The sequence below is a fragment of the Homo sapiens genome, chromosome 12 (assembly GCF_000001405.40).
Source record: "Homo sapiens chromosome 12, GRCh38.p14 Primary Assembly".
NCBI classification, from domain to species: domain Eukaryota; kingdom Metazoa; phylum Chordata; class Mammalia; order Primates; family Hominidae; genus Homo; species Homo sapiens.
In genome coordinates, this window is record NC_000012.12 from 110,646,775 (window position 1) to 110,674,612 (window position 27,838).

General features: G+C 48.4%; 2 protein-coding genes and 1 long non-coding RNA gene across 49 annotated transcripts in view, besides 7 other annotated features; 2 read left to right on the forward strand and 1 right to left on the reverse strand.

Moving 5' to 3' along the window:
• Positions 1–2,656, forward strand: part of TCTN1 (tectonic family member 1) — a 35,302-nt gene extending 32,646 nt beyond the window's left edge. For 14 of the 30 annotated variants that reach the window (NR_135088.2, NM_001173975.3, XM_017019964.2 and 11 more), the window contains 3 exons: positions 437–562; positions 975–1,119; positions 2,269–2,656. Coding sequence is in view for 29 of the 30 variants with exons in the window: in NM_001173975.3 (NP_001167446.1) it covers positions 437–562; positions 975–1,118 (270 nt within the window). In the remaining variant the exon portion in view is untranslated. Of the gene's footprint in view, positions 1–421; positions 563–974; positions 1,120–2,268 lie in introns of those variants that run through there. The other 16 variants (XM_006719594.4, XM_011538734.4, NM_001173976.2 and 13 more) reach the window with 3 other exon arrangements.
• Positions 1,230–1,289: an enhancer, noted in NCBI's record as "active region_7014". NCBI's record gives its function as "activates an Ori minimal core promoter by ATAC-STARR-seq in GM12878 lymphoblastoid cells {active_cell/tissue: GM12878}" and the evidence as "EXISTENCE:reporter gene assay evidence [ECO:0000049][PMID:35858748]".
• The window catches only part of HVCN1 (hydrogen voltage gated channel 1), a 56,267-nt gene continuing 30,340 nt past the window's right edge, over positions 1,912–27,838 (reverse strand). For all 18 annotated transcript variants that reach the window (XM_011538846.3, XM_017020026.3, XM_011538847.2 and 15 more), the window contains 5 exons: positions 14,390–14,674; positions 8,460–8,564; positions 4,443–4,674; positions 3,394–3,506; positions 1,912–2,701 (listed from right to left, as the gene is read on the reverse strand). In XM_011538846.3, coding sequence (XP_011537148.1) covers positions 2,636–2,701; positions 3,394–3,506; positions 4,443–4,674; positions 8,460–8,564; positions 14,390–14,674 — 801 coding nt within the window. In that variant the 3' untranslated portion in view covers positions 1,912–2,635. The remainder of the gene's footprint in view (positions 2,702–3,393; positions 3,507–4,442; positions 4,675–8,459; positions 8,565–14,389; positions 14,675–27,838) is intronic.
• Positions 14,636–15,138: an enhancer, noted in NCBI's record as "H3K4me1 hESC enhancer chr12:111099215-111099717 (GRCh37/hg19 assembly coordinates)". NCBI's record gives its function as "activates a minimal SCP1, AML or CMV promoter by ChIP-STARR-seq in naive H9 embryonic stem cells {active_cell/tissue: H9 hESC(naive)}" and the evidence as "EXISTENCE:reporter gene assay evidence [ECO:0000049][PMID:30033119]".
• Positions 14,729–15,018: an enhancer, noted in NCBI's record as "active region_7015". NCBI's record gives its function as "activates an Ori minimal core promoter by ATAC-STARR-seq in GM12878 lymphoblastoid cells {active_cell/tissue: GM12878}" and the evidence as "EXISTENCE:reporter gene assay evidence [ECO:0000049][PMID:35858748]".
• Positions 15,319–15,368: an enhancer, noted in NCBI's record as "active region_7016". NCBI's record gives its function as "activates an Ori minimal core promoter by ATAC-STARR-seq in GM12878 lymphoblastoid cells {active_cell/tissue: GM12878}" and the evidence as "EXISTENCE:reporter gene assay evidence [ECO:0000049][PMID:35858748]".
• LOC124903017 (uncharacterized) lies at positions 15,897–26,149 on the forward strand. The gene is made up of 2 exons (XR_007063460.1): positions 15,897–16,423; positions 23,347–26,149. It is a non-coding gene; the product is annotated as an uncharacterized LOC124903017 (long non-coding RNA).
• Positions 22,248–22,347: an enhancer, noted in NCBI's record as "active region_7017". NCBI's record gives its function as "activates an Ori minimal core promoter by ATAC-STARR-seq in GM12878 lymphoblastoid cells {active_cell/tissue: GM12878}" and the evidence as "EXISTENCE:reporter gene assay evidence [ECO:0000049][PMID:35858748]".
• Positions 23,398–23,537: an enhancer, noted in NCBI's record as "active region_7018". NCBI's record gives its function as "activates an Ori minimal core promoter by ATAC-STARR-seq in GM12878 lymphoblastoid cells {active_cell/tissue: GM12878}" and the evidence as "EXISTENCE:reporter gene assay evidence [ECO:0000049][PMID:35858748]".
• Positions 25,512–25,661: an enhancer, noted in NCBI's record as "active region_7019". NCBI's record gives its function as "activates an Ori minimal core promoter by ATAC-STARR-seq in GM12878 lymphoblastoid cells {active_cell/tissue: GM12878}" and the evidence as "EXISTENCE:reporter gene assay evidence [ECO:0000049][PMID:35858748]".

The window sequence follows — 27,838 nt, forward strand, 5'->3', positions numbered from 1 at the left end:
TTTAACATGACATGCAATCAGGTTTTGTCTGCTAATAATTATTTCTCCCCCTCCATCCCTCCCACCAGTTTCTTTCCTGAAGTCTGTGAGGCCGCTATAAACAGGTAGATGAAGTTAGAGCAGTTATGGCCCTAAATGGTCCACAGTTGGGTATTGGCACTACCGCAGTTTCAGGTGATGTCGGCATTTTTAGAAATAGGAGGAGATGGAAAAATTACGCTTCAGCTGTTAAAAATATTTTTGGGGCATTGAGTTACTTTAAAACACGTATATTCTCTAAGCTGTTTTTATCTGAACTTGTAGAGTCTATTCATTTTCTTGTTCAGAACATTTTGTAATATGTGAAACCTTTTATAATTAAAACTCTGAACTGCAGATTAAGTCTGACTTGCAGTTTTGTAAGATTCTAATGGATTAACAGCATTTTGTTTTGCAGGATTCCTGCCAGCTCCCAGGGGCTTTGGTTATAGAAGTGAAGTGGACTAAATACGGATCCCTGCTGAATCCACAGGCCAAAATAGTCAATGTAACTGCAAATCTAATTTCATCCTCCTTTCCTGAGGTAGGCCTAACCTAGTTTAAAGGCATAGGTTAAGACAGAAGTCTAGACACAACTCAAGTGTGGTAGGTGACAGGTATTACTTTGTGAAAAAGATTATAATTTAAACCATGGGGGTTCATAAAATATTTCAGCAGTCATTCTTAGAAACACTGACGATGGTTCTACTTACATTAGCATTCTGGTTCAGATTGGATCTTTAAAATTCTCATGAAAATTATGATATTCACGTGTTAATCAGACACCCTGGTAAAATTGTTTCTCTCATCCAAGTTAATGGCCAATTAGTGCTCCAGGACCTATCAGATTCATGAACTGACAGTAGTTGGGTGAGGAAGAGAATGAAAAGTGTCTCATTGTTGTCATTCTGGGAGCACACTGGAGGGTGGGCCTTGCATCTCTCTGTTTATTACAGGCCAACTCAGGAAATGAAAGGACGATTCTTATTTCCACTGCGGTTACTTTTGTGGATGTGTCTGCACCTGCAGAGGCAGGCTTCAGAGCTCCACCAGCCATCAATGCCAGGCTGCCCTTTAACTTCTTCTTCCCGTTTGTTTGACGTAAGTGAGGAAACTACGCCCCTCCTCTGAGGTCATCCCCTTTGGAAAGTGTGCACGTGGGGCTAGAAGTCCCTAGGGGATACTGCATTTTATACTTTTTGAGGGTCTCGCTTTGTTGCCCAGGCTGGAGTGCAGTGGTGTGATCATGGCTCACTGCAGCCTTGACCTCCTGGGCTCAAGCAATCCACCCACCTCAGCCTCCTAATAGCTGGGACTACAGGTGCACACCACAACACCTGGCTAATTTTAATATAGTTTGTAGAGATGGGGTCTTGCTGTGTTGACCAGGCTGGTCTCAAACTCCTGGGCTCAGGTGCTCCTCCTGCCTCGGCCTCTGAAAGTGCTGGGATTACAGGTGTGAGCCACCATGCCTAGCCTTATTATACTTCTAACCTTTGAGGTTGCCTCCAAACCAGCACACTGCCCTTCTCCACTCCCTTCCTGCCTTTTTTCCTTTTGGAAATGTTATTCTATCTGACTTTTGAATGGGGAATATGCTTAACACATAGGTCATAGATGATAGAACCCAAAAAGTCTTTGGGGAGATGGTAAAGAACATGAACAGGACTTGAAGCAGCAGAGGCAAGGGGGATTTGGCCAGTTCATTCATCCCCTGCTTTGAGTTATTTATTTTAAAAATACTCAGTTCAGGTTTTTTCCTTTTTGGGTCCGGTTGAAATGAGTACAAAAAAATAGCAAAATATTAGATAAAATCATGCGAGAAGAGCACACAGCCCTTACAAGGGGATCTTCCCCCAAATACCTTGTTAATTATAGTGGAGTCTTGGGTCTAATTGCCATTTCTGCACCAGGCACTGTAGCTAGCTTGCTCTCCGACTGGCAGGCTGGTATGGGTGCCACAGAGGAAAGAATACAGTAGGAGGGTCCAGGGAAAAGAGAGAGTTTATTTTATACAGTAGTTGTTTTATTTTATACAGTAGTTGTACAGTAATTGAGGAAAAATGTTGTCAGGTGGCAGAAAACAATGGAGCCACCTAGAAGCTGGCTGATGCAGCTGGGGCACACAGAGGAGGGGCCTGGGTACCCCTTTTGGGGAAACTGAGACGAAGCTATTTAGAACAGCTTGAAAATAAGAGACTTTTCTAGAATGGGGTGGCAGCTAAAGTAGCTTCTTTTTCTTTCTTTCAGAATGCTCAGATGCATCAGTTCCTTAATATACACGTGAAATTTGAAAACTGTACATTCGGTGAGATTAAATTTTATATACAACTAGCAATTGTCCAGCTTTGTTGCTCATTTTCAATTAAGGCTAAAGTGTTCAACATGAGAAAATGTGATACATTTGATACAGTGTGGGGTGGGAGTGGATGGGCAGCTCTTGGTGGTACTGGACCTTCCACAAGGCTGTGTCCACCCAGAATCCATGCTGGCAGGAGGGAGGCAGAGGTATCAAACCAAACCTCTCACCAAGCGGCCCAGGAGGGGCAGCTGTTCCTCTCGTGACAGCACAGGCCCATGAGACAGTGTCTTCTTTTTGAGGGGAGCTGGTCCGGGTCTAGTTCACTTCACCAAGAAGTCCATGCTGTCGCAATAGTTTGTTAAGTCTTTCAATTTCTTGTTCCTATTGCAAAAGCAGACAAACACTGGAATTTACTTTGAGCCTCGCCAGGGATGTGACAATCAATCATTCAGTGAGCCCCAGGCACAGGACCACAGAGATGAATGAAAGCTACGCTGTTTGTGGCATTCAGTCTGCTGAGGAGACTGCTACAATCAGATAGGCTTCACTGAGCAGCAGTGACAGCAGTGAGAAGACAAACGTGGGGGACCTGGCAGAGCCCTGGGATGTGGGGGTGGGCACAGCTTCAGGGAGGATGTGACGCCTGGGCTGGATCTGAAAGGACAAGGCAGGCTCAGCCCAGGGAAGGGCGCTCTAGGTGCATGAGCAGCGCTCTGCTGCAGGCGGGTGCTGCGGCAGAGGCCAGCTTCCCAGATATCTTTTTTTTTTGAGACAGAGTTTTGCTCTTGTTGCTCAGGCTGGAGTGCAATGGCGCGATCTTGGCTCACCACAACCTCCACCTCCCGGGTTCAAGCAATTCTCCTGCCTCAGCCTCCTGAGTAGCTAGGATTGCAGGCATGTGCCACCATGCACAGCTAATTTTGTATTTTTAGCAGAGACAGGGTTTCTCCATGTTGGTCAGGCTGGTCTCGAACTCCGGACCTCAGGTGCTCCACCTGCCTTGGCCTCCCAAAGTGCTAGGATTACAGGCATGAGCCACCACGCCTGGTCCCCAGATGTGTCGTCTTTCTTACCTTCTCAGAGCAGCTGAACTCAAGGTGTTGAATCTTGGCGGCCAATTGTACATTCATCTGTTTTAACCTTAAGAGTTGCCGTTCTGAACGTGTCTTAACTGAGATGATAATCCCTGAAATAAAATTGGGGGTCTCAGTGATACTGGTTTCTAACTTAACCACTCAGGAAAAAAATCTGTATTCTTACACCTGTATAGAGTTTGGAGGAGTGGTGACAGACACGCGAGACAGTCATCACTTTAGGGCATCAGAACTGGGAGGTCAGGGTTTTGTGTCTGAGCTACTTAGTACCCAGTTACACAGTATCTCTCTTTAGCTGGCATGGCTGAGAAATCCTTAAAAATAATCACTGACAAGATGAGCATTAGGATTCTTAACCTAGAACCTGTTCACAATCATGTGGGTGCACAACAGCGGTGTCCATAGATGCCACGAAAGCACAGGCTGGGAAATGCCCCCTTTCCCCATAACAGGCATCTTCTGTAGGAACTGAAAGGCTTTTTTTTCTTTCCTTTGACAAGAGTCCAGTTTTTTTTTTTTTTTTTGAGATGGGGTCTGGCTCTGTCACCCAGGCTAGAGTGCAGTGCACAATCTTGGCTTATTGCAGCCTCCAAATCCTGGGCTCAAGCAATCCTCCCACCTCAGCCTCCCCAGTGGCTGGGACTACATGTGTGCACCACCACACCCAACTGATGTTTGTATTTTTTGTTTTGTAGAGATGGGGGTTTCACCATGTTGCCCAGGTTGGTCTCGAACTCCTGGGCTCAAGTGATCCTCCTGACTCAGCCTCCCAAAGTGCTGGGATTACAGGCATGACCACTGCACCCAACCTGTTTCATTTTATTTGCTTGACGTAAACCTGCTTATAACCAGCTCCTAAAGGGCTGAAGAGGAAGAAGGGAGGAGAGGGAGGTGAGGGGGCAGAGGGGAGGCCTCCATAACAGGAGCCACTGTGAGCTCAGGCACCCAGAGTGACTGCGCAGTCAGGCCTTGGATGTATGCCTGGGCCCCTACTCTCCATCCACAGCCTGGGAGTGCAGGAGACGTACCATTGATGATCCGGGCCACCCGCCACAGCCGGAGCAGAATCAGCAGGCCCAGAGCCTCAAACTGGTGCTCCTGGAACAGGAGGACAATGTCGAGGATGAATGAGACCACCACCACGACGGCATCCAGGATCTCAAACTTGTGGTGAAAGAACTCCAGGCGGAAGACAAATAATTTAAAGATGATCTCCATCATAAAAAAGACCAAGATGGTGATGCTCATGTAGTGGAATACCTGAAGGGGACAAGGAACCACAGTCAGGGGAGATTGGGCCTCTGGGAGGTCAAGCTGCCCTCACATGCACCTGCCTGGTCACCAGCAAGAGAATTCCTCTGGTGGACAAATCCAGATGCCCAGTGCTGGAAACACAGCTGTGAACACCACAGATGAGGCACCTGCTCTCTAAAGGGCAATTAGGCAATGTCAGAATTAAAGCATCCTCTAGACCCTTTGGACCAGCAATTCCATGGCTAAGAACTTACCCTACAGCTGAGCTCCTGTGTGCACAGGGACTAAGGATATTTACTGCAGCACTGTTTGCAGAACAAATACTTTCTGCATTGTAAGACAACAGAAATGTCCATTAGACAGAAATGTCCATTAGAAGTTACTCTTGAAATGAATGGTGACACCTCCATATGGGGCCCTAAGGACACACTTGTTAAAAAGATTAAGCTGGGTGTGGTGGCTCGAGCCAATAGTCCCAGTTACTCAGGAGGCTAGGTGGGGCCTCCTGCCAAGAGCCCAGTTTGAGGCCAGTCTGGGCAACATAGCAAGACCCCATCTCTAAAATAACTGAATGAATGAATGAATGGAGGCAGATCCATATGTTCCAATTAGGAGTGATCACCAAGGTGGTGTAAAGTGAAAAGGGTTCCAAGATCTTGATCTAGTCCTGGCTGGGCACAGTGGCTCATGCCTGTAATCCCAGCACTTTGGGAGGCCAAGGCGGGCAGATCACCTGAGGCCCGGAGTTTGAGACCACGTTGGCCAACATGGTGAAAACCTGTCTGTACTAAAAAAATACAAAAAGTTAGGCATGGTGGTGCATGCCTGTAGTCCCAGCTATTTGGGAGGCTGAGGCAGGAGAATTGCTTGAACACGGAGGAGAGGTTGCAGTGAGCCGAGATTGCACCACTGCACTCCAGCCTGGGTGACAAGTGAGACTGTCTCAAAAAATAAAAATATAAAATAAAATAACCAGTCCTCACACCAAGATAACCATTTCCAGATCTGAGGCAGGGGAGGTACAATGTGGGCAAGGACGTCTTTTGCCAGCAAGGAAGTCTTCAAAGACATCACAGAGTCATGTCAACAGGACCCAGCAGTCAACTTGAAGAGGCTCACAGTGACAACATTTGGGACAATCTGAACATTGAAAAGAATGACTAAGATTGATTGTAACACAGTGAATAAAAAAATTCACAGTGCGGCACATACACCCATGCACACATACATACACACATGGGAAAACAGGGAAGTGCTTTTTTATAGAAGAGTACCTACTACTAAATGTAGAAGGAAAGACAGAAAATCACCATTTTGCATTCCCTAGTGTAGTCACTGACTCAGGCAAGTTTCACCAACAGATGCCAACTGGGGAAGAGGATATTTGCATGCTACCAAAGCAGTACCAGGCAGATCATTTACCACTGCAACGGGAAAAATGCCCCTGGCCAGTGGAGCAGTCCAGCAAGTGACCCAACTGAGTGGGACCCCTGGCGTGGTGTGCCTCCTGAAAATGCCACATCCAGAACATCGCCAGCCAATGAAGACTCCCTGCTGATCAAGCCCTGGACCTAACCGTGGTGTGCAGGAAATGAAGAAACAAGGCAGGAGACCTCAAAATCATCAGACAAATCCAGAACATGGGACATTCTACTGGCTGGGCTCTTCCAAGAGTCATTGTCATGAAGGAAAAAGAAAAGCAGGAGGATTTCTCTAGATTAAGAAAGCCCAGGGAGGCCGGGTGCAGTGGCTCACACCTGTAATCCCAGCACTTTGGGAGGCCAAGACAGGAGGATTGTTTGAGCCTGGGAGTTCAAGACCAGCCTGGGCAACACAAGGAAACCCTGTCTCTACAAAAAATTTAAAAATTAGCTGGGTGTGGTGGTGCATGTCTGTGGTTCTAGCTACTCAGGAGGCTGAGGCGGGAGGAAGGCTTGAGCCCATGAGATCAAGACTACAGTGAGCTGTTAAGTGCTCCTGCACTCCAGCCTGGGTGACAGGGCAAGACTCTGTCTCAAGTAAAAAAAAAAATTAAAAATTCCAAGGAGACATAACCAAATAGAATATTGGAATTCTCTATCCTAGTTTGAAAAAAACTGCCATTAAAGACATTCTTGGGCTGGACACGGTGGCTCTTGCCTGTAATCCCAGCACTTTGGGAGGCCGAAGTGGGCAGATCACTTGAGGTCAGGAGTTCGATACCAGCCTGGCCAACATGGTGAAATCTCATCTCTACTAAAAATAAAAAAATTAGCTGGGTGTGGTGGCGGGCACCTGTAATCCCAGTTACTCTGGAGCTGGAGGCAGGAGAATCGCTTGAACTCAGGAGGCGGACGTTGCAGTGAGATGAGATAGTGCCACTGCACTCCAGCCTGGGCGATAGAGACTGTCTCAAAAAAATAAAGAGAGACATTTGGGATGAGTGAATAAAAGTGGTTGTTAGGTGGGACTATTGATCTTATTTTAGATCTGATGGTGCTCTTATGGCTCCATGGGAGAAAAACCTTATTAGGCACGTTGAAGTATTTAGGAGTGAAGGGTTGTGAAGTCAAATGGCCAGACGGAAGCGTGTGTGCGTCCGTGGGGATGTATAGTGACAAAGCAAACACAGCAAAATGTGTCTTTGCCATTTTTCATAAAAAGTTGAGAGAAAAAAAGACAATAAGTATGGCAGGTATGTTAATGGATTCTATTAAAAATAGAGGAAGAGAGCCAAGTGCAGTGTCGCACGCCTGTAATCCCAGCACTTTGGGAGGCAGAGGTGGGTGGATCACTTGAGCCCTGGGGTTCAAGACCCAGTCTCTGAGAAACATGAAAACAATTATTTAGGAGAAAACAGATGGACAGGGAAGATTCTCCTCCTATGCTGGCATAGGAGATGTCACAGGGCTGCCTCTGGGAAAGGTATCAGGAAGAAGGAGGAAGTTTCATATTCTGCCGTTTTCACCACTTGCAAAGACATACATTTGCATATCAATTCCATTTTGTTTTTCCAAAAAAGGGCATGGCGGGGGATGGGGGGGAAATGCTTTTTTTTTTTTTTTTTTTTCCTGGAGACGGAGTTTTGCTCTTGTTGCCCGGGCTGGAGTGCAGTGGCGCTATCTCGGCTCACTGCAGCCTCCGCCTCTGGGGTTCAAGCGATTCTCCTGCCTCAGCCTCCTGAGTAGCTGGGATTACAGGCGCATGCCACCACGCCCAGCTACTTTTTTGTACTTTTAGTAGAGATTTGGTTTCATTATGTTGGCCAGGCTGGTCTCGAACTCCTGACCTCAGGTGATCCACCCGCCTTGTCCTCCCAAAGTGCAGAGACTAAAGGTGTGAGCCACCATGCCCAACCAGGGATGATTTTAACTCTCTTGATCTCCGCCCTTGGAACTGAGACAGGGTATGTCCACCACCCTTTGGGTGAACATCTGGGATGGGCTCAGTAACTGAATCAGTGAATAAACAGCAGATCCCCTGATGGCCCAGCAAGGGGACCATGCAGACCATCAACAGAAGACAGGAGGAATGCCCCTCCTGACCCAGAGATGGCAGAGTGGATCCACCCCACATGCTCCAGCTCACTAGCCTAGCATCGCCCAGGATTCCAGCCATCATGTGAAACAACGTTTCCTGCTTGTAGTAAATGCTAATCCATATTCTGGAAAGGAAGACGAAAACACCTATCAAACTACCACAGACCTTGCTACTCCAAGTGGGGTGTCAGCTGCTCCACTCTGCACCCCGTCTGTGCAGATAACACAAGCAAAACATATCAGTAAGACCCCAGAAGAGCTGTCAACCCCTACCATGGCAGCATAGTTATTCTTGTCGGGCTGGATGATCTTCAGGTCCAGGATGAGCTCAGCAAGCACCAGGAGGGCATCCAGAACCACCAAGCAGATGATGATGACCTGTGGGCCGAGGGAAGGTGCCAGAGATCATGAGACCCCCACAGAGGCCCTCCCTCTCCCATCATTAAGAGCTGGCTTGGAAGCACGTGGGTGAAACCACTGGGCAAAGCCATTAAGGATGGGAGGCTACTGCTATAGCTCGCCAGAGGCCCCACCAGGATGGAGGCTGTGCAGGGCCAGCTCCTCTCTGATAGAAGCTGCCAGCCTCCTTCCCGCCACCCTCCTGGCCTGCTCTGCCTCTAGGCGCTGCCCACCTTCCCTGCCCTCCCAGAACATCTCTGGCTCATTTTCTGACCTTTGGTCACTGTTTCCCAAATACCACCTCTCAAACCAAACTGCCCATACCTAGATGGCAACAAATAATCAGTTTTTTTTTTTTTTTTTGAGACAGAGTCTTGTTTTGTCACCGAGGCTGGAGTACAGTGGCATGATCTCGCCTCACTGCAACCTCTGCCTCCTGAGTTCAAGCAATTCTCCCACTTCAGCCTCCCGAGTAGCTGGGATAACAGGCACGTACCACCATGCCTGGCTAATTTTTGTATTTTTAGTAGAGATGGTGTTTCACCATGTTAGCCAGGCTGGTCTCGAGCTCCTAACCCCAAGTGATCCACCCACCTTGGCCTCCCAAAGTGCTGGGATTACAGGCATAAGCCACCGTGCCCAGGCAAGTTTGTATTTTTCTGTTCCTGGGGACTGCTGTTGCTGGGGTGCTCACAGAACAGATGCTCAATAAATAATTCAACACAGCCCTGCCTCGGCAGTCCGAGTCCTGGAAGGGACCTTGGGGACTGCTGACTGCAGGTTCCTTGGCTACAGGGACGGCTGCTGTGCTTACAAACTAGCTTCTGCCTGGAGATGCGAGGTACCTGCCCCAGCTCTCGTGTGCTCATAGTGGGTGAAGATGGTGAAGGGGAGAGGAGTCCTGGTGTCCTGGAGAATTCAGGAGAGCTGCTATGGGAAACACAGCCTCCTGGGCTTTGTGATGGGCTGACAGAGGACAGGTGGGGAGCAGTGTGGAGTGGGTGGGTGGTCTCACTGATGGTGGCTGTGGGAAGCAGCTGGTGGTGATGGCAGTCACGGTGACAGCTGGTGATGATGTTGGCGAGGGCACTGATGGCAGGGTGGAGGTGACAGTGTTGGGGTTACCATAATGGCAGTGGAGATGCAGCAGTGGGAGGAGCCCCAAAGGACCTCGAGTGACCCTTCTCTTCCCTTGGAAATTCCAGGCCATCACCGTACCCACCCCCCCGCCAGGGCCTTGCCGCTCACACTCTCAGATCAGTAGATTCTGGCCTCTGAAAATTAACCTGCCATTATCTTGGCAATTTCTGCAGTTTCAGGTTAAAATTAAACAAGTTCAGGCCTCTGCAAGAACAGACTATTAATCCTTTGATCCTTTCAACCTGTAGGTAATTATTTCAGTAATTAAAGTATTATGATGTGGTTTCTTGTGAAAATTGCATGGCAAATTGCTTTGTAATGAAGTTTTCACACATATTCAAATTCAGCAAGCTTAATAAAGGTGCAAGCCTCTAGTAGGGTTTTTGTTGTTGTTTTTCCTTGGTTTTATTTTGGAACTAAAGGGATCTGAGAGCTCATGTGAGGTAAAACCAAGTCACAGAGCTACAAGGAACAGACCCAATATTCAGCCATGAAAAGGATGAGGTTCTGACCCCCGCTCCTATGAAATCGTCATTCTAAGTCAAAGAAGGCAGACAGACAAGATCACACATTATATGATCCCATCTAATGAAATGTCCAGAAATGGCAAATCCAGAGACAGAATGCAGGTTCACAGTTGCCCAGGGCTAGGGGAGGGGGAATGGGGAGTGACTGCTAATGGGTACCAGGTTTCCATTTGAAAATGCTCTGGGGCCGGACACGGTGGCTCATGCCTGTAATCCCAGCACTTTGGGAGGCAGAGGCGGGCAGATCACCTGAGGTCAGGAGTTCGAGACCAGCCTGGCTAACATAGTGAAACCCTGTTTCTACTAAACATACAGAAAATTAGCTGGGCATGATGGTGTGTGCCTGTAATCCCAGCCACTTGGGAGGCTGAGGTAGGAGAATCGCTTCAACCTGGGAGGCGGAGGTTGCAGTGAGCCGAGATCGCACCATTGCAGTCCAGCTTGGGCAACAAGAGTGAAACTCCATCTCAAAAAGAAAAAAGAAAAAAAAAAAAAAAGAAAATGCTCTGGAACTAGATAGTGGTGACTTGTACAACACTGTGAATGTGTTAAATAAATGCCACAGAATCATTTACTTAAAAATGATTGTTATGTGAATCTCACCTCAATTTAAAAAAGAAACAATGCAAAAGAAAAATGAGAGACAGACCAACCTAAGGTCACAAAACTACGATGCCAGGATAATAACCCCAGCCTCTATGAAAACTCATCCCTGGGGCCCTGAATCTGCCAGTTCACAGGGAGTGTTGCTTCTTAGGGGAACCAGGTCACAAGGAAAATTGCTGAGAATTCAGAGAAGCTGCTTCATTCTAAATCCTCACCCTGGCAAAGACTGCAGAGTCCGTGCCGTGGGGCGGCCAGTCCTGGGCTCAGCTCCCAACTCCCCCATCTGCCTGGACCTTGGACACATCTCTCAATGCTGGAAGCTTCAGCGTCCTCTCGGGGAAAGTGGGGTGGGCCACATTTTCTACCCCAGAGCAACAATGGGAGCATGACGTGAGTGAAGTATGAAGGGCGCTTAGCACACGGCTGGCCTGCGGTGCATGGGAATGAAAGTGAAGCTCCCTGACTCCTGGGACCACTTTCCCTTGGCTCCACTCTGTCCTGTCATTCATGGCTTCCTTGGGCCCTGAATAACCCTGTATTCTCTCCCTTGGTTGTGCCATCCCATGTAAGAAGGGACCTCAATTAACTATTAATATATCAAGCACCTTGGCCATCTCAAACCACCCAAGAAAGGGATCCCAGGAGCTTCCTGGATGCCGATCCTACCTGCAGAGACTACAACCCCTGAGCCTCACCACCTACTCCAGTGTGGCCTCACTGCTGCCACCAAGTCCCTCCACAAATCTGATCTCCCACCCACACACTTAGAGCTTTCAAAGGCAGCCCATGACCCGTGGATGACCTTCCCTGGCCTCTTCTCTTGCCAATTGCCTGCTGGCAACACCCATACCCGATCCACGTGCGCCCTTCTCAATTCCTCCAATGCTGCAGGTCCTTGGCAAACGAAGCCCCTCTACCTGGAAGCCTCCCACGCCATCCACCCATCGGGCTCACTCCTGCTCAGCATGCAGGTGTCACCTCCTTCGACTCCAGTCCCTGATCAGGTCCCCCCACCCCCAGGACCTCTCAGAGCCCCCCTCCTCCCTGCGGAGGGCTTCTCTCCATTTGTAACCAATGTGTGTCTCAGTGATGGCTCCCGTCATTCCTGCCTTTCTGCAGCCTGCCAAATCCTCAATGAGGGCAAAGATGTGTCTGCCACATTTGTCACTGTACACAGCAGGTGCTCAATAAGTGACTGTTGGGTGGGTGAATAAACACCTCCACTCACTTTATGACAGGCATTCGTCTTTTTCCCCAGCAGGAGTATCTGGGTGTCCCAGCTCAGGGGCCAGTCCCCAGCCCTAAGCCCAGGCAGGAGGGGGATATCCTGATGGGGCGGCCCAGGGCTCCCCTTGCAGCTGCAAGGAAGCTGTTTCCTTCCTTCTGCTCCTGAAATTGAGGGTTTGGGATTTCAAACCCAACAACTTAATAGCATGTTTCCTTTCCCATCACAGCCACAGAGAAGCTGGGTCGCCAGGCGCTCTGGCATGTCAGCTGGCTTGCTTTGCTGCTTTCAGCTTTGCTGCTTTCAGCCACACAAGAGAGTGGGGAAAAAAAAAGACCAAAATAATTTTTTTTTTCTCTTTTACCCTGGAGTAAAGTCAGCAATGGAAGAGGCAAGGGCTACATTTCTCTGCTTCCAGAAGAGGGACAGGCTCTATTTCAGCCACACAAGAGTGGGGAAAAAAAAGACCAAAATAATTTTTTTCTCTTTTACCCTGGAATAAAGTCAGCGATGGAAGAGGCAAGGGCTACATTTCTCTGCTTCCAGAAGAGGGACGGGTCTATTTTGTTTGGGGACACCTGCAATAGCATCCCCTAAATGCCCACCTTTGAGAACTGTGGGCTTCCCTGTGGTCTCCAGACCTGTGCCCTCCCAGGACTTGAATGTGTTTCCAGGCACCCAGACATAGGCTCTGCCACCTTGGGGATGGGGATTGGGTCCAGAGAGGGCTGACCAGACTCCACTTGCATTTGTCCCTCAAAATCAGAAATGTCCTTCTAGACTGTGTATGGTGGCTCACGCCTGTAATCACAGCACTTTGGGAGGCCAAGATGGGAGGATCACTTGAGGCCAGGAATTCGAGACCAGCCTGGGCAACATAGCAAGATCCCATCTCTTAAAAAAAAAGCCCTTCTAAATGGCGGGACATGGCCAGGCATAGTGGCTCACGCCTGTAATCCCAGCACTTTGGGAGGCTGACACGGGTGGATCACTTGAGGTCAGGAGTTTGAGACCAGCCTGGCCAATGGTGAAACCCCGTCTCTACCAAAAATACAAAAATTAGCCAGGTGTGGTGGCAGGCACCTGTAATCCCAACTACTTGGGAGGCTGAGGCAGGATAGCTTGAACCCAGGAAGCAGAGGTTGCAGTGAGCTGAAATCATGCCACTGCACTCCAGCCTGGGTGACAGAGCAAGACTCTGTCTCCAATCAATCAATCAATCAATGGCAGGACAGTTGGCCGGGCACGGTGGCTAATACCTGTAATCCCAGCACTTTGGGAGGCTGAGGTGGGTGGATCACCTGAGGTCAGGAGTTCAAGACCAGCCTGACCAACATAGTGAAACCCTGTCTCTACTAAAAATGCAAAATTAGCCAGGCGTGGTGGCAGGCGCCTATAATCCCAGCTACTCGGGAGGCTGAGGCAGGAGAATTGCTTGAACTCCACAGAAAGTTCAGTTCCCTTCGCTCGTCTGTGAGGACCACCCCAGCTCTGCTTTCTCCCTGCAACCACACCTGGAGACTATCAGCAGTGGGCTAAGGCCAGGACAGGCAGGTATTTTGGGCATCACTCCACAAGAGAGACTGAGGCCCCCAGCGTGATGGGTCTCCATGAGGCAGGGGAGCCTCTGGCACTGAGTGTTCGCAGAGTGAACAGATGAGTGTTTTTTCTGTCTCCGTTATTTACCCTTTATTTATTTTTTTTGTGTGTGGTAAAATTTGCATAACGTAAAATTTACCATTTTAAAGTTGGCGTAAAACTTAGTGGCATTCAGTCCATTCACAAGGTTGTGTAACCATCACCACTATAATTCCAGAACATTTTCATCTCCTCAAATGGAAACACTCCCACCTGTGGCAGCCGCCAATCTGCTTCCTGTCTCTATGGATTTGCCTGTTCTAGATGTTTTGTATCAATGGAATCCTACACTCTGGCCTTTTGTGTCTGGCTTCTTTCCCTCAGCACCATGTTTTCAAGGTTCATCCACATTGTGGCATGGATCAGCACTTCTTTGCTTTTGATGTTGGAATCATATTCCACTGTATGGATAGAACACATTCGGTTTAACACTCATCCATTGGTGGACCTTTTGCTTTTGGATCATGGCTCTTTTCTCCCTGACAACTTGAGATCTGCCTACCGCATTCCCAGCACGGTACAGGGTCCCCGGCACGTGGTAGGTGCTGGGCAAACACTCGTAGAATGAATGAGGCAGTGGCCAAATGGGCTCAGCCTGGCCGCCTGCCTCACATTCCCCGATGGCTCTCCTGCCAGCTCTGGGTATCCCGGACTCCTGCCCCACCTACCTGAAACCTGTGGGAGCTGAACAGTTTCCTCAACATGCCCCTGAAGTCAAGGGGGGCCCTGGGTGCGGGGCCAGGGGCAGGGGCAACGTCAGGGGCTGCAGCTCTGCCTTCCTCGCCTGAGACTGGTGTGGGTGGTGGCTGCTCCTCCTCCTCCTCCTCCTCTTCATTCTCCCATTTCTTGTAGTTGATGTTCCAGGCATGGTAGTCGTCTCCCACGACCGTGAAGTGCCTTAAGAACTTGCTCATCCTCTCAGCGGGAGCCACCTTGGCCCTGCGGGTGACTGCCTAGAAGGCGGGGACAGAGAGCAAGAGCTTCAGGCAGTTGGCCACTCAGAGCCCACATGGCCCAGGCCGGGCCAGGCCACTGCAGGTGAAGATGGTCCCGGGTGCGTAGAACCCCCTGCAAGCAGAGACCATGAGGTCACGGTGGTTTCTCGTGCTTTTATTTTTGGAATCCAGGGTCTCAGTGTCTATGAGGCAACAGGAAACTCCTGCCCCCAGCAGGCCTGTCACTGTGGTCTGGTTGGCAGTAACCAACGGAATCAGTACTGCAGCCCGGTCCCAAAACACCCGCCACGGGCCCATGTGTGAATACCGGAAGGGCGGCCCCAAGGTTCAGAGACATCACAACCTGGAAACTGGAGGGGCCAGTGGGCAGGGCGTGGGGAGGAGAAGCCAAAAGTAAAAGTACCCAGAGTTTCATAGAAAAGTCACGAGATCCCCACCCATCACGCCACACATCCTGACAGGCGCGTGGCAGATGGACATTTTCCAAGTTCAGCCAGTGCTATTCACACGGACAGTTGTTTAAAGCAAAAGCAAATATCCCTGTGCCCTCTCTCCACTTTACCCAACTTGCCCTACCAGGTATCAAATTTACATAAAGTTAAATAATTGAAATGTATAGGTATGAGTGCAAGAGCAGGCTACATGACTACTGGAACAGGAAGAGAGAGCCCAATGGAAGAGAGAGCCCAATGTCCCTGAGGGAGCCTAAAGGAGATGGGGTGGCCGTCCAGACTCACGGGAAAGAAAGGCTGGAGAGGCTGGGACACCTGGCTTTGTCAATAGGAAAAAAAAATCCATTCCCCACCTTGCCCCCCACACAGAATACATCTGAGATGCACTTACATGAATGTGTAAAGTGTATTTAAAAAGGAACAACTTAAAAAGTCTTAGAACAAAATACAGGCCAGTAACTTCATGAGCTTAGGATAGGAAAAGATTGCTTAAATAACACAAAACACCACAAAATAGGGTGCGCATGGTGGCTCATGCCTATAATCCCAGCACTCATTCCATGGGCTAAGGCAAGTAGATTGCCTGAGGTCAGGAGTTTGAGACCAGCCTGGCCAACATGGCAAGACCCCATCTCTACAAAAAATACAAAAATTAGCTGGGTATAGTGGCGCATGCCTGTAATCCCAGCTACTCAGGAGGCTGAGGCCCCAGAATCGCTTGAAGCTGGGAGGCGTGGGTTGCAGTGAGCCAAGATCATGCCACTGCACTCCAGCCTGGGCAACAGGTTGAGACCTTGTCTCAAAACACAAACAAACAACACAAAAACAAACACAAAATGCATAGATTTGACTGCATCAAAACTAAAAGCTTTATTATGACACACTGCCCCCCCACACACACCCTACAAAGTTAAAAGATATACTACAGACTGGGATAAATATTTGCAATGTATGTGATAGACAAAGAGTAACCAGAATATATAAAGAAATCTTATAAATCAAAAAGAGAAAGAAAAACTCCATGGAAAACTGGGCAGTGGACGTTGACAGGCAGGTCATGTAAGAGAAAACTCAAATAGCCAAGATGCTTATCCCCAATAATACTCAGAAAAACGCAGAGTGAAGTAACAATAGCACATCTTTTCACTCCTCAGGTTGGCAAGTGTCTTAAAGTCTACATCAAATATCGGTGAGGGCGTGAAGCAATGGGGTCTCTTGAACACTGAAGACAGAAACAGGCACCAGCACCATCATTTTGGGGAGAAATTTGGCATGATCTTGTCAAGTTGAAGTGGTGTGTATCTTTCTGAATGATTTAGTGATTCTATCCCTACATAGGGTCCAAAGAGAAACTTGGGCACATGTGCTCAAATTGGTGACATGTTCAAAAATGTTCACTGCAAATATTCACCTAGTTGGGCAGGTGTGGCAGCTCACACCTGTAATCCCCACACTTTGGGAGGCTGAGGTGGGAGGATTGCTTGAGCCCAGGAGCTGAGACCAGCCTGCGCAATAAGGCAAGACCCTGTCTGCAGAAAAATAAAAAAAATTAGCCAGGCATGGTAGCACACCTGTAGTCCCAGCTACTTGGGAGGCTGGGGCAGGAGGAGTGCTTGAGCTTGGGAGGTCGAGGCTGCAGTAAGCCATGTTCTCCAGCCTGGGCAACAGAGTGAGACGCTGTCTCAAAAAAAAAAAAAAAAAAAAAAAAAAGAATAAAAAAGAAAAAAAATTTATCTACATGTGGGAGATAGAGGAATGAATATTCTCTGTTCATGTAATGGGACACTATACAGCAGTTAAAATGAATTAACTGCGTCTCAGTATGTCACTGGTGATGCCCATGTGTACCCACTCGGCAGCACTGAATACAGTAGAACAATCACTTCTTTCTTCAAATGCTTCCTTCATTGGCTTCTGGGATGCCACAGTCTCCTGGTTTTCCTCCTATCTCAGTGGTTGTTTCCTGTTAGTTTCTTTTGGCCAGTGGATATCTTAGAGGAAGACCTTACATTTAATTTTCTTTTCTTTTTTTTAAAAAGAGGATCTCACTTGTCACCCAGGCTAGATGCAGGGGTGCGATCATAGCTCACTACAGTCTTGAATTCCTGTGCTCAAGCAATTCTCCTGCCTCAACCTCCCGGGTAGTTTGGACTGTGGCACACTATAACGTGTCTGGCTAATTAAAACAATTATTTTTTTAGAGATGGGGTCTTGCTATGTTACCCAGGCTGGTCTTAAACTCCTAGGCTAAAACAACCTTCCAGCCTCAGCTTCCCGAGTAGCTGGGATTACAGGTACATGCCACTGTGCCTGGCTTACATTTAAGTATTAAGTACAACTGTATACCCAGCACCTAGAAAAATGCCTTGCACTTAACAGACACTCAAAAATACTGAAATGTTTGTTAAGCAACAATGAATCTAGCAATGTGGATAGCTCCTAAAAAATGTTGACTGTAAAAGAAAGATATGGAAGAATAAGAACAATGTCACACCACTTAAGTAAAAATGTTAAATATATGGAAAATATTATATATTGTTTTGGAATGTGTAAAAGCATGAGTGTAAACATACACAAGAATGAGATTTCTGCTTCTGGCCTTATTACACTCTAGAGTAACTAGTAACAGATTATCCCTCCTGCCATAACCAATTATAAAACTGGATAAAATATGTGAAATTTACTGTGATCCCTTAGAGAAGAAAAATGAATGAGGCAAACCCTACAATCACCCTGGCTTTGTGCCTGGAGGTACTTTCTGGACTGTGAAGGCAAAGACTATAGTTCAAAGCTATTGAGTCTCCCTCCCCTTGTGAATCTGCTTGGCAATGTACCAGAAATAGGAAAGGTATGCAGAGGAGGAGACCCCAAAATATGGACTTTGGCTGAGTCCTAAACATCGTGTGTGTGGAACAAGATTTCATGAGGCAGGGAAAAATATAACTTTCAGGAAAAAAACTCCTTGGGGTGCTGTGAGCTGAACAACTACCAGAAATTACATAGGACTGGGTTGGGAGATATGTGAGTTCCCAACAGCCAGAGTAGAGAGACCTCATTGAACACCCTAAGCATTCAACAGAAATCCCAGAAAAATCATGCCTTATGAGTAGACCTAATCTAGCTTTATAGGAAGGGCCACATTACACTCATCCCAACAAAGCTTAAAAATAAGCCTTGAAATGAACAAACTGATCCCCAAGTAAATTTACTGCCTGTTGGAACAAAACTCAATACTTTATTAGGAAGACAACAACATAAACTCAACATCATAGATGCATACTGTCTAGCATACAATTAAAATTACTAGACACATAAAGCTGAAAAATGTGGCCCACAACTAATAAAAAAATCAGCTAATAGAAGATTCAAAATGGTTGGGTGCAGTGGCTCATGCCTGTAATCCCAGCACTTTGGGAGGCCGAGGTGGGCAGATCACCTAAGGTCAGGAGTTTGAGACCAGCCTGACCAACATGGAGAAACCTCGTCTCTACTAAAAATACAAAATTAGCTGGGTGTGGTGGCACATTCTGTAATCCCAGCTACTTGGGAGGCTGAGGCAAGAGAATTGCTCGAACCTGGGAAGCAGAGGTTGTGGTGAGCCGAGATCATGCCATTGCACTCCAGCCTGGACAACAAGAGTGAAACTCCATCTCAAAAAAAAAAAAAAGACTAAAAATGTACAGAGATAATAGAACTGGCCAAGAAAGACTTGAAAACAGATATTACAAATATATTCAAGGATTTCAAGGAAAACATAAACTTAATGAGGGAGCAAATAAAAATCTTAATACAGAAATGGAATCTACAAAAAAGATCCAGCTGGCTAGGCATGGTGGCTCACTCATGTAATCCCATCACTTTGGGAGGTCGAGGTGGGCAGATCACCTGAGGTCAGGAGTTCAAGACCAGCCTGACCAATGTGGAGAAACCCCATCTCTACTAAAAATACAAAATTAACTGTGCATCGTGGCACATGCCTGTAATCCCAGCTACTCAGGAGGCTGAGGCAGGAGAATCACTTGAACCCGGGAGGTGGAGGTTGCGGTAAGCCGAGATTGCACCATTGCACTCCAGCCTGGGCAACAAGAGTGAATCTCCATCTCACAAAAAAAGAAGGAAAAAAAAAAAAAGATCCAGATGGATATTTTAGAACTGAAAAGTATATATACGAAATGAAAAATCACTGGATGGGCTTAACAGCTGATAACATATTACCAAAGAAAAGATCAATGAGGCTGGGCACAGTGGCTCATGCCTGTAATCCCAGCACTTTGGGAGGCTGAGGCGGGCGGATCACAAGGTCAGGAGATTGAGACCATCCTGGCTAACATGGTGAAACCCCATCTCTACTAAAAAAAAATACAAAAAAATTAGCCAGGCATAGTGGCCAGCGCCTGTAGTCCCAGCTACTCAGGAGGCTGAGGCAGGAGAATGGCGTGAACCCAGGAGATGGAGGTTGCAGTGAGCCGAGATCGTGCCACTGCACTCCAGCCTGGGCGACAGAGTGAGACTCCGCCTAAAAAGAAAAGAAAAGAAAAGAAAAGAAAAGATCAATGAACTTAAAGACAGGGCAATAAAAAACATCAACTGGAAACACAGGGAGAAAAAAAAGCTGAAAGGAAAAATAAACAGAGCCCCAGGGACCATATCTACTAGTTTAACATGTGTACTTGTAGTGCATGGCCCTCCAGGAACTGGCATCTCTCCTTCCCCACAGCCTCCTCGCCACACTCCAGCCACCCTTCTGTCCCTCTGATGCTCCACACTGAGCCATCACACAGGCTGTTCCCTCAACCTGGAATACTCTTCTCCCCAATCCGAGCTTCGCTTACTCTTGCTTATGCTTGAAATGTCAGCTAAAATGTCAGTTCCTCAAAGAGGCCCTCCCTCACCCCTAAAACCTAAATCAGTTCCCCTCCCATTTATAACCTCTCCTCCCACTTTTCCTTCGAGAGCCCTCATCCTAGTTTCTAACTAGAAACTGTTATGTGCAGCCACATATTTTTATCCCTCCTAGCATTTACCTCACATGAAGGCAGGGTCTGTGTCCCCTGAGTCTTGTATGACACCTGACCTTGAGCAGAAGCCCATCATGCACCTGTTGGCTGAGGGCACTGGTACCTCATCTCCCATGCTGGGCTCATCTCGGCCGGACCAAACATCTCTGGACTCCCAGGGCTGGCCAGGGCCAGCGCCAGGGTATACTGAAGCTCTCCAGGCAGCCACTGGCCATAATTCCTTTCTTTTTGAGACAAAGTCTTGTTCTTGCTCCCCATGCTGGAGTGCAGTGGCATGATCTCGGCTCACTGCAACCTCCACCTCCTGGGTTCAAGTGATTCTCCTGCCTCAGCCTCCCGAGTAGCTTGGATTACAGGCGCTGCCAACACACCTGGCTAAGTTTTGTAATTTTAGTAGAGACAGGGTTTCACCATGTTGGCCAAGCTGGTCTCGAACTCCTGACCTCAGGTGATCCGCCCGCCTCTGCCTCCCAAAGTGCTGGGATTACACGCGTGAGCCACCGTGCCTGGCCATAATTCCCTTTTTTGAGATAGGGTCTCGCTCTGTCACCCAGGCTGGACTGTAGTGTGCGATCACGGTTCACTGCAGCCTTGACCTCCCGGGATCAAGCGATCCTCCCACAAAAGCCTCCTGAGTAGCTGGAACTATAGGCACATACCATCACGCTCAGCTAATTTTTTGTATTTTTTTGTAGAGGCAGGGTTTTGCTATGTTGCCCAGGCTGGTCTCAAACTCCTGGGCTCAAGTGATCCACCCGCCTCGGCCTCCCAAAGTTCTGGGATTACAGGCATGAGCCCATGCCTGACCCCATACTTTCCTTTGGAAACACCTTACCTGGCAGACAAGAGCAGCCTGTCCTATTTCTCAGTAGTGTGGGAACCTCAAGGTACTTTGCAAAAACCGCATTTATATTTTACAGAAGAGGAAATTTTTCTTTCTGAAACCTTGCAACTGGTGAAGAAGCAACTTTTAGTAATTTGGGATGAAAATATCTAGGGCACTCAGCAGAGCAGAAAACATTTCTGGTTTTCAGTCAAAAGTCTGTCATGCCAGAAGCAGAAAAGCTCCAGAAAAGGGCAAAGATAGGGTTGATCAAGAGAATGTGGTGGGCCTCAGCAGCTTCACCATGCACTCCAGACTCCTAGCATTCATGGACAGACTGATCCTGCCACCACGCCCGGCTAATTTTTGTAATTTTAGTAGTGTGGCGTACAGAGCACCTGCCTCGGTGCCTGGCTCAGAGCAGCCCCCAGCTCTGGAAGTGCCAGCTATGATCATCCCTTAACAACAAAAACTCACCTGGGCATGGTGACTCACATCTGCAATCCCAGCACTTTGGGAGGCCAAGATGGGCAGATCACTTCAGGTCAAGAGTTTGAGACCAGCCTGACCAACATGGCGAAACCCCATCTCTATTAAAAACAAACAAAAAAATAGCCAGGCGTGGTGGTGGGCACTTGTAATCCCAGCTACTTGGGAGGCTGAGGCATGAAAATTGCTTGAACCTAGGAGGCAGAGGTTGCAGTGAGCCAAGATCATGCCACTGCACTCCAGCCTGGGTGACAGAGTGAGACTGTCTCAAGAAAACAAAACAAAAAACCCCAAAACTCTTCTCCTCCAGCTTCATCACCATCCTTGGATATTTCATTTCTCTGCCCACTGCCTGCCTCTGCATCCCTCAGGCTGTTAAGTTACATGAGCTGATACAGCCGCTTTGTGGCTTAAGTGACACTGAGCTGTGTTTCTGTCACTTATAACCCCAAAAGTCTACAGGTGGAGTTGCTGATGCGGGACACCCCCACAGCTCCATCTCCCATGCAAGAATCCTTGCTGTCCCCACTGTACCCTGATGCTCCTCTGCGGTCACCTTTCCATATCAAAACCTGTGACCGTGGCTCCAACCTGCCTGACGGTCCCACACTCTTTGACGCTGTTGAATCTGCTGTGCTTGGCAATCTCGCCCCCTGCTTCTCCTGCTATCTCTGGCCACCCTCCTCAGCTTCCTGTACCATGTCCCTGCCCCATACCAGGAGTCCTGGAGACCTCAGCCTTGACCCTGTCCTTGGGCCGGTGACTCTCTCTTTGGGGGCCTTAGCACAGCTGTGTTCTCGGTGCCGTTCACGTTCAAATCAAAGACTCCAGTCTGATGTTCAAGATCCTGCTGGGTCATTGGTTTGCTGTGACCCAACTGACCTGATTTCTTACCTTTCTCTCCCAGTCCACTCCTCCTTCCACATCCCCTAGGGCACGCTGTCACTTACCTGGCTGCCCAGGCCAAGAACAGAAAATCGTCCTTGGCTCCTCCTTCTCCCTCACACCCCATCGGTTTCACTTCCTGAACCTGGCTGGCACTCCATCGTCCCCTCTCCCTCACCAGAACCTGCCCTGACCCTCCCTCCACCTGCCTGCAGCCAGGGTCCTCCTTCTCCAATGCCAACCTGACTGTGTCCCTGCTGTGCAGCGACCTCCATGCCCACAACTGCCTTCAGGATCGAGTCCCAGCTCTCTTGGCTTCCCCAGGCCCTGGTCTCCCTGCCAGCCTTATTCCTTCCTAGCACCCTGCCTCTGCCAGCCTCCAGCCACATGGAACTTGCAGTTCTAGAGCGGACCACGCTCTCTTGCTTCCAGGACTCCGCATGGCCTGTCCCCATCCCATCTATCTTCCAGGTCTTACACCTAGATTTTACCTTCCCTGGGAGGCCTTCTTTAATTCTCCCTCACCCCAGTTGGGGTGTACGTCACACTGTCTTAACAACCACTGAGACACTGTCCCCACCACATTGGGCTGTGAACGCTGGGAGGGCAGAGACTCTTCCTCAGTCACAGGGAGAGGCTCAAGAAGTGGTTAAGAGGCCGGGCGCGGTGGCTCAAGCCTGTAATCCTAGCACTTTGGGAGGCCGAGACGGGCAGATCACCTGATGTCAGGAGCTCGAGACCAGCCTGACCAACAGGGTGAAACCCCATCTCTACTAAAAATACAAAAATTAGCCAGGCATGGTGGCACATGCCTGTAATCCCAGCTACCTGGGAGGCTGAGGCTGCAGTGAGCCAAGATTGCGCCCCTGCACTCCAGCCTGGGTGACAGAGCGAGACTCCATCTCAAAAAAAAGAAAAAAGAAATGGTTAATAAATGAATGGATTAACAAAATCTTAGGCACTACTCCTTCAAGGTAAACATATTGCTGACCTCTTTTACAGGTATTAGACCAGAAAAACTACCATCTGGGAGAGAAGGGGAAAGTGAAAAAGACAGACCTAGAAGCGAAGGAGAGAAAAGCATTTTGTGGATGCCTATTTTTACAGGCTCAGAAGCCGCCATCTGTGGGAGGGGGAAAGTCCCTAGTTCATTGTTATCTGACAATCGGAGAAAAAGGTACTTTTTAAGAAAGTCAGCCAACTCCCAACTCCCATGGCCTGATGTCCCTTCAGTTTGCATTTCCCTGTTCCCTCCCAGAGCTATTTTGGGGGACTTGATTTGCATATTAACCACCCTCACCCCAAAACTCTAAGACACAATGGCAGCAACGTGTATTACTATGGTTGCTTATTTTATCACACCTCATATCATCTCAGCATGCTGCTAACTTCCTTCCATGCACTATTTCATTTCAATTCCTAACAACCCTGAGGTTGAGGCCATCCTTTAGGGTCCTGGTGAGGGGGGGCCTTGTCCAAGGTCACACACTGTGGGGAACTGGAAAAGCAGGATCTGCCCCTGGGCTCCATGACTTGGAGACTATGTTCTAGAAAACACAGCTGACAGAAAGCCAGGCAGCCAGTGACCGGAGAGCCACCTGCTCAGAGGGTGGAGTAGGTGGAATTGTGCACACCCCCCTAACAATTCCTGTCCCCCTGGACCCTTAGAATGTGACCTTATTTGGAATGTAGGTCTTTGCAGATGTAACTAAAGATGATAAGATGAAATCATACTGGATTTAGGGTGGGCCCTAAATCTGGTGATTGGTGTCCTTACAAAAAGAGAAAAGGGGCCAGGCGCGGTAGCTCACGCCTGTAATCCCAGCACTTTGGGAGGCTGAGGTGGGTGGATCACTTGAGGTCAAGAGTTCAAGACTAGCATGGCCAACATGGCAAAACCCCGTCTCTACTAAAAATATAAAAATTGACCAGGTGCAGTGGCTCATGCCTGTAATCCCAGCACTTTGAGAGGCCAGGGTGGACAGATCGCCTGAGGTCAGGAGTTCAAGACCAGCCTGCCCAACACATTGAAAACCTGTCTCTACTAAAAATACAAAAATTAGCCGGGCGTGGTGGTGGGTGCCTGTAATCCTAGCTACTCCGGAGGCTGAAGCAGGAGAATCGCTTGAACTCGAGAGGCTGCAGTGAGCCGAGATCATGCCATTGCACTCCAGCCTGGGAGACTGAATGAGACTCGGTCTCAAAAACAAAAAAAGAGAAAAGGACACACAGAGGGTAAGGTCACGTGAAGGTCACAGAGGTCAGAATGATACGTCCACAAGCCAAAGACTGCAGACAACACCAGAGGCTGGGATGGAAGAGGCCTGGGACACATCTCCCCATCCCAAAGCGTCCAGGAGCCAGTCCTGCCAACACCTTGATTTTGGGCTTCTGGTTTCTGGAACTGGTGAGAATGAGTTCCTGTTGTTGAAGCCCCCCAGTTTGTAGTAGTTTGTCACAGCAGCCACAGGCAACCAGGACAGAGGGTGTGTGCCTGAGTTAGCCAGGATGGTCTGTAGGCCAGGTACTGTCTTTCCCTTTATCTTTCCGGGCCACACATTTGTCCTGGACTCCAAGGAGAAAGCCGACTTCTTCAGGGCCCAAAACCACTTGGAGAAAGCCCGATTCTGCAGCCAACAACAGCGACAGCGGCTCCTTTTGCTCAGAGCCCACCGGTCACATCACCTGCTGTCGCTTGATACTTTTAATGCTCCTAAGAAGTAGGCAGGAAGGGTAGGTGAAGTCTCTCCATTTTGCACAAGGGCAAACTGAGGCCTGGGGAGGCGAGACCACTTGCCTGAAGTCACACCGTGCCGCACATTTTGGCAGGGTGACAGAGGCAGAGGGAAGTGGGCACTCCTGTATGCCAGCTGTTGGGCATGTAAATGGGTGTATTCTTCCTAGGAGGGTAACAGGGCAGTTCCTTTCATCTTTTGAAAAAATATTTGAGTCTCTCTGATGTGCCAGGCTTGGGGACAAAGGAGGGGATTGGCCCTAAACCAATTTATATCAAAATTTTATTTCCTTTTTATTGAGATGGGATCTCATTTTGTTGTTCAGGCTGGAGTGCAGCCGCAAACTCCTGGGCTCAAGCAATCCTCCCGCCTCAGCCTCCCAAGTAGCTAGGACTACAGGTGTGTGCCACCATGGCTACCTTGGTTTCTATCAACATTTAAAATGTCCTTATTGCTTGACTTTACAAGAGACTCCCACGTGCACACAGGTGCTTGCTCCAGTCCTGCTTCAAGAGCCCTAAACCGGAAACCACCTCAAAGTCTGTTGCCCAGGACACCATGGAAGACCCACACCACAGAGCACCACACCACTGTGTGGCAGGCCTGTAGACCTCACACACCCACAGGGAAAGGGGTCCTCAATCTACGATTATGGGAAAACTGACAAAATCAACCCCAACTCCCAGGAGGAGAGAGGGACTGGGTTGGTGAGTGAAACTTTGCATTTTTTTTTCTAATAGGTTTGGCTGATACCAAACCTATTAGATATGATTTGGTTTGGCTGTGTCCCCACCCAAATCTCAACTTGAATTACCTCCCAGAATTCTCATGTGTTGCTGGAGGCACCCGGGGGAGGTAACTGAAACATGGGGGCCAATCTTTCCCATGTGATTCTCATGATAGTGAACAAGTCTCACAAGATCTGATGGGTTTATCAGGGGTTTCTGCTTTTGCTTCTAATTTTCTCTTGCTGCCGCCACATAAGAAGTGCCTTTCGCCTCCTGCCATAATTCTGAGGCCTCCCCAGCCATGTGGAATTGTAAGTCCAATTAAACCTCTTTTTCTTCCCAGTCTCAGGTGCGTCTTTATCAGCAGTGTGAAAACTAATACAGTAAATTGGTACCAGTAGAGTGGGACATTGCTGAAAAGATACCTGAAAATGTGGAACCAACTTTGGAACTGGGTATCAGGCAGAGTCTGGAATAGTTTGGAGGGCTCAGAAGAAGACAGGGAAGTGTGGGAAAGCGTGGAACTTCCTAGAACTTGTTGAATGACTTTGCCCAGAATGCTGATAGTGATCTGGACAATAAGGTCCAGGCTGAGGTGGTCTCAGATGGAGATGAGGAACTTTTTGGCAACTGGAGTAAAGGTGACTTTTGGCATGTTTTAGCAAAGAGCTGGCAGCATTTTGCCCCTGCCATAGAGATTTGTGGAGCTTTGAACTTGAGAAAGATGATTTAGGGTATCTGGCAGAAGAAATTTCTAAGCAGCAAAGCATTCAATGCCTGCTGTTAAAGGCATTCAGTTGTATAAGGGAAGTAAGGCATAAAAGTTTGGAAAATTTGCAGCCTGATGATGTGATAGAAAAGAAAAACCCATTTTCTGGGGAGAAATTCAAGCCAGCTACAGAAATTTCCATAAATAGCAAGGAGCCTAATGTTAATCCCCAAGACCTTGGGAAAATGTCTCCAGGCCATGTCAGAGACCTTCACAGCAGCCCCTCCCATCACAGACCCAGAGGCCCAGGAGGAAAAAGTGGTTTCATGGGCCTAGGGACTTGGTGCCCTGTGTCCAGCTGCTCCAGCTGTGGCTGAAAGGGGCCAACATACAGCTCAGGCTGTGGCTTCAGAGGGTGGAAGCCCCAAGCTTTGGCAGCTTCCACGTGGTGTTGAGCCTGCAGGTGCACAGAAGTCAAGAATTGAGGTTTGGGAACCTCTGCCTAGATTTCAGATGTTTGGAAATGCCTGAATGCCCAGCCAAAAGTTTGCTTCAGGGGTGGGGCCCTCATGGAGAACCTCTGCTAGGGCAGTGCAGAAGGGAAATGTGGGGTGGGAGCACCCACACTGAGTCCCTTCTGGGGTATCACCTAGTAGAGCTGTGAGAAGAGGGCCACAGTCCTCCAGACCCCAGAATGGTAGATCCACCAATAGCTTGCACCATATACCTGGAAAAGCCACAGACACTTAATGTCAGCTCATGAAAGCAGCCAGGAGGTGGGTTATACCCTGCAAAGCCACAGGGGCGGGGCTGCCCAAGACTATGGGAACCTACCTCTTGCATCAGCCTGACCTGGATGTGAGACATGGAGTCAAAGGAGATCATTTTGAAGCCTTAGAATTTGACTGCCCCACTGGATTTCAGACTTGCAGGGACCCTGTAACTATTTTGTTTTGGTTAATTTCTCCCATTAGGAACAGCTGTATTTACCCAATACCTGTAACCCCCCTGCATGTAGGGAAGTAACTAGCTTGTTTTGATTTTTACAGGCTCATAGGCAAAAGGGACTTGGTTTGTCTCAGATGAGACTTTGGACTGTGGACTTTTGGGCTAATGATGAAGTAAGACTTTGGGGGACTGTTGGGAAGGCATGATTGGTTTTAAAATGTGAGGATATGAGATTTGGAGGGGTCAGGGGCAGAATGATGTAGTTTGGCTGTGTCTCCACCCAAATCTTAACTTGAATTATATCTTCCAGAATTCCCATGTGTTGTGGGAGGGACCCAGGGGGAGGTAATTGAATCATGGGGGCCAATCTTTCT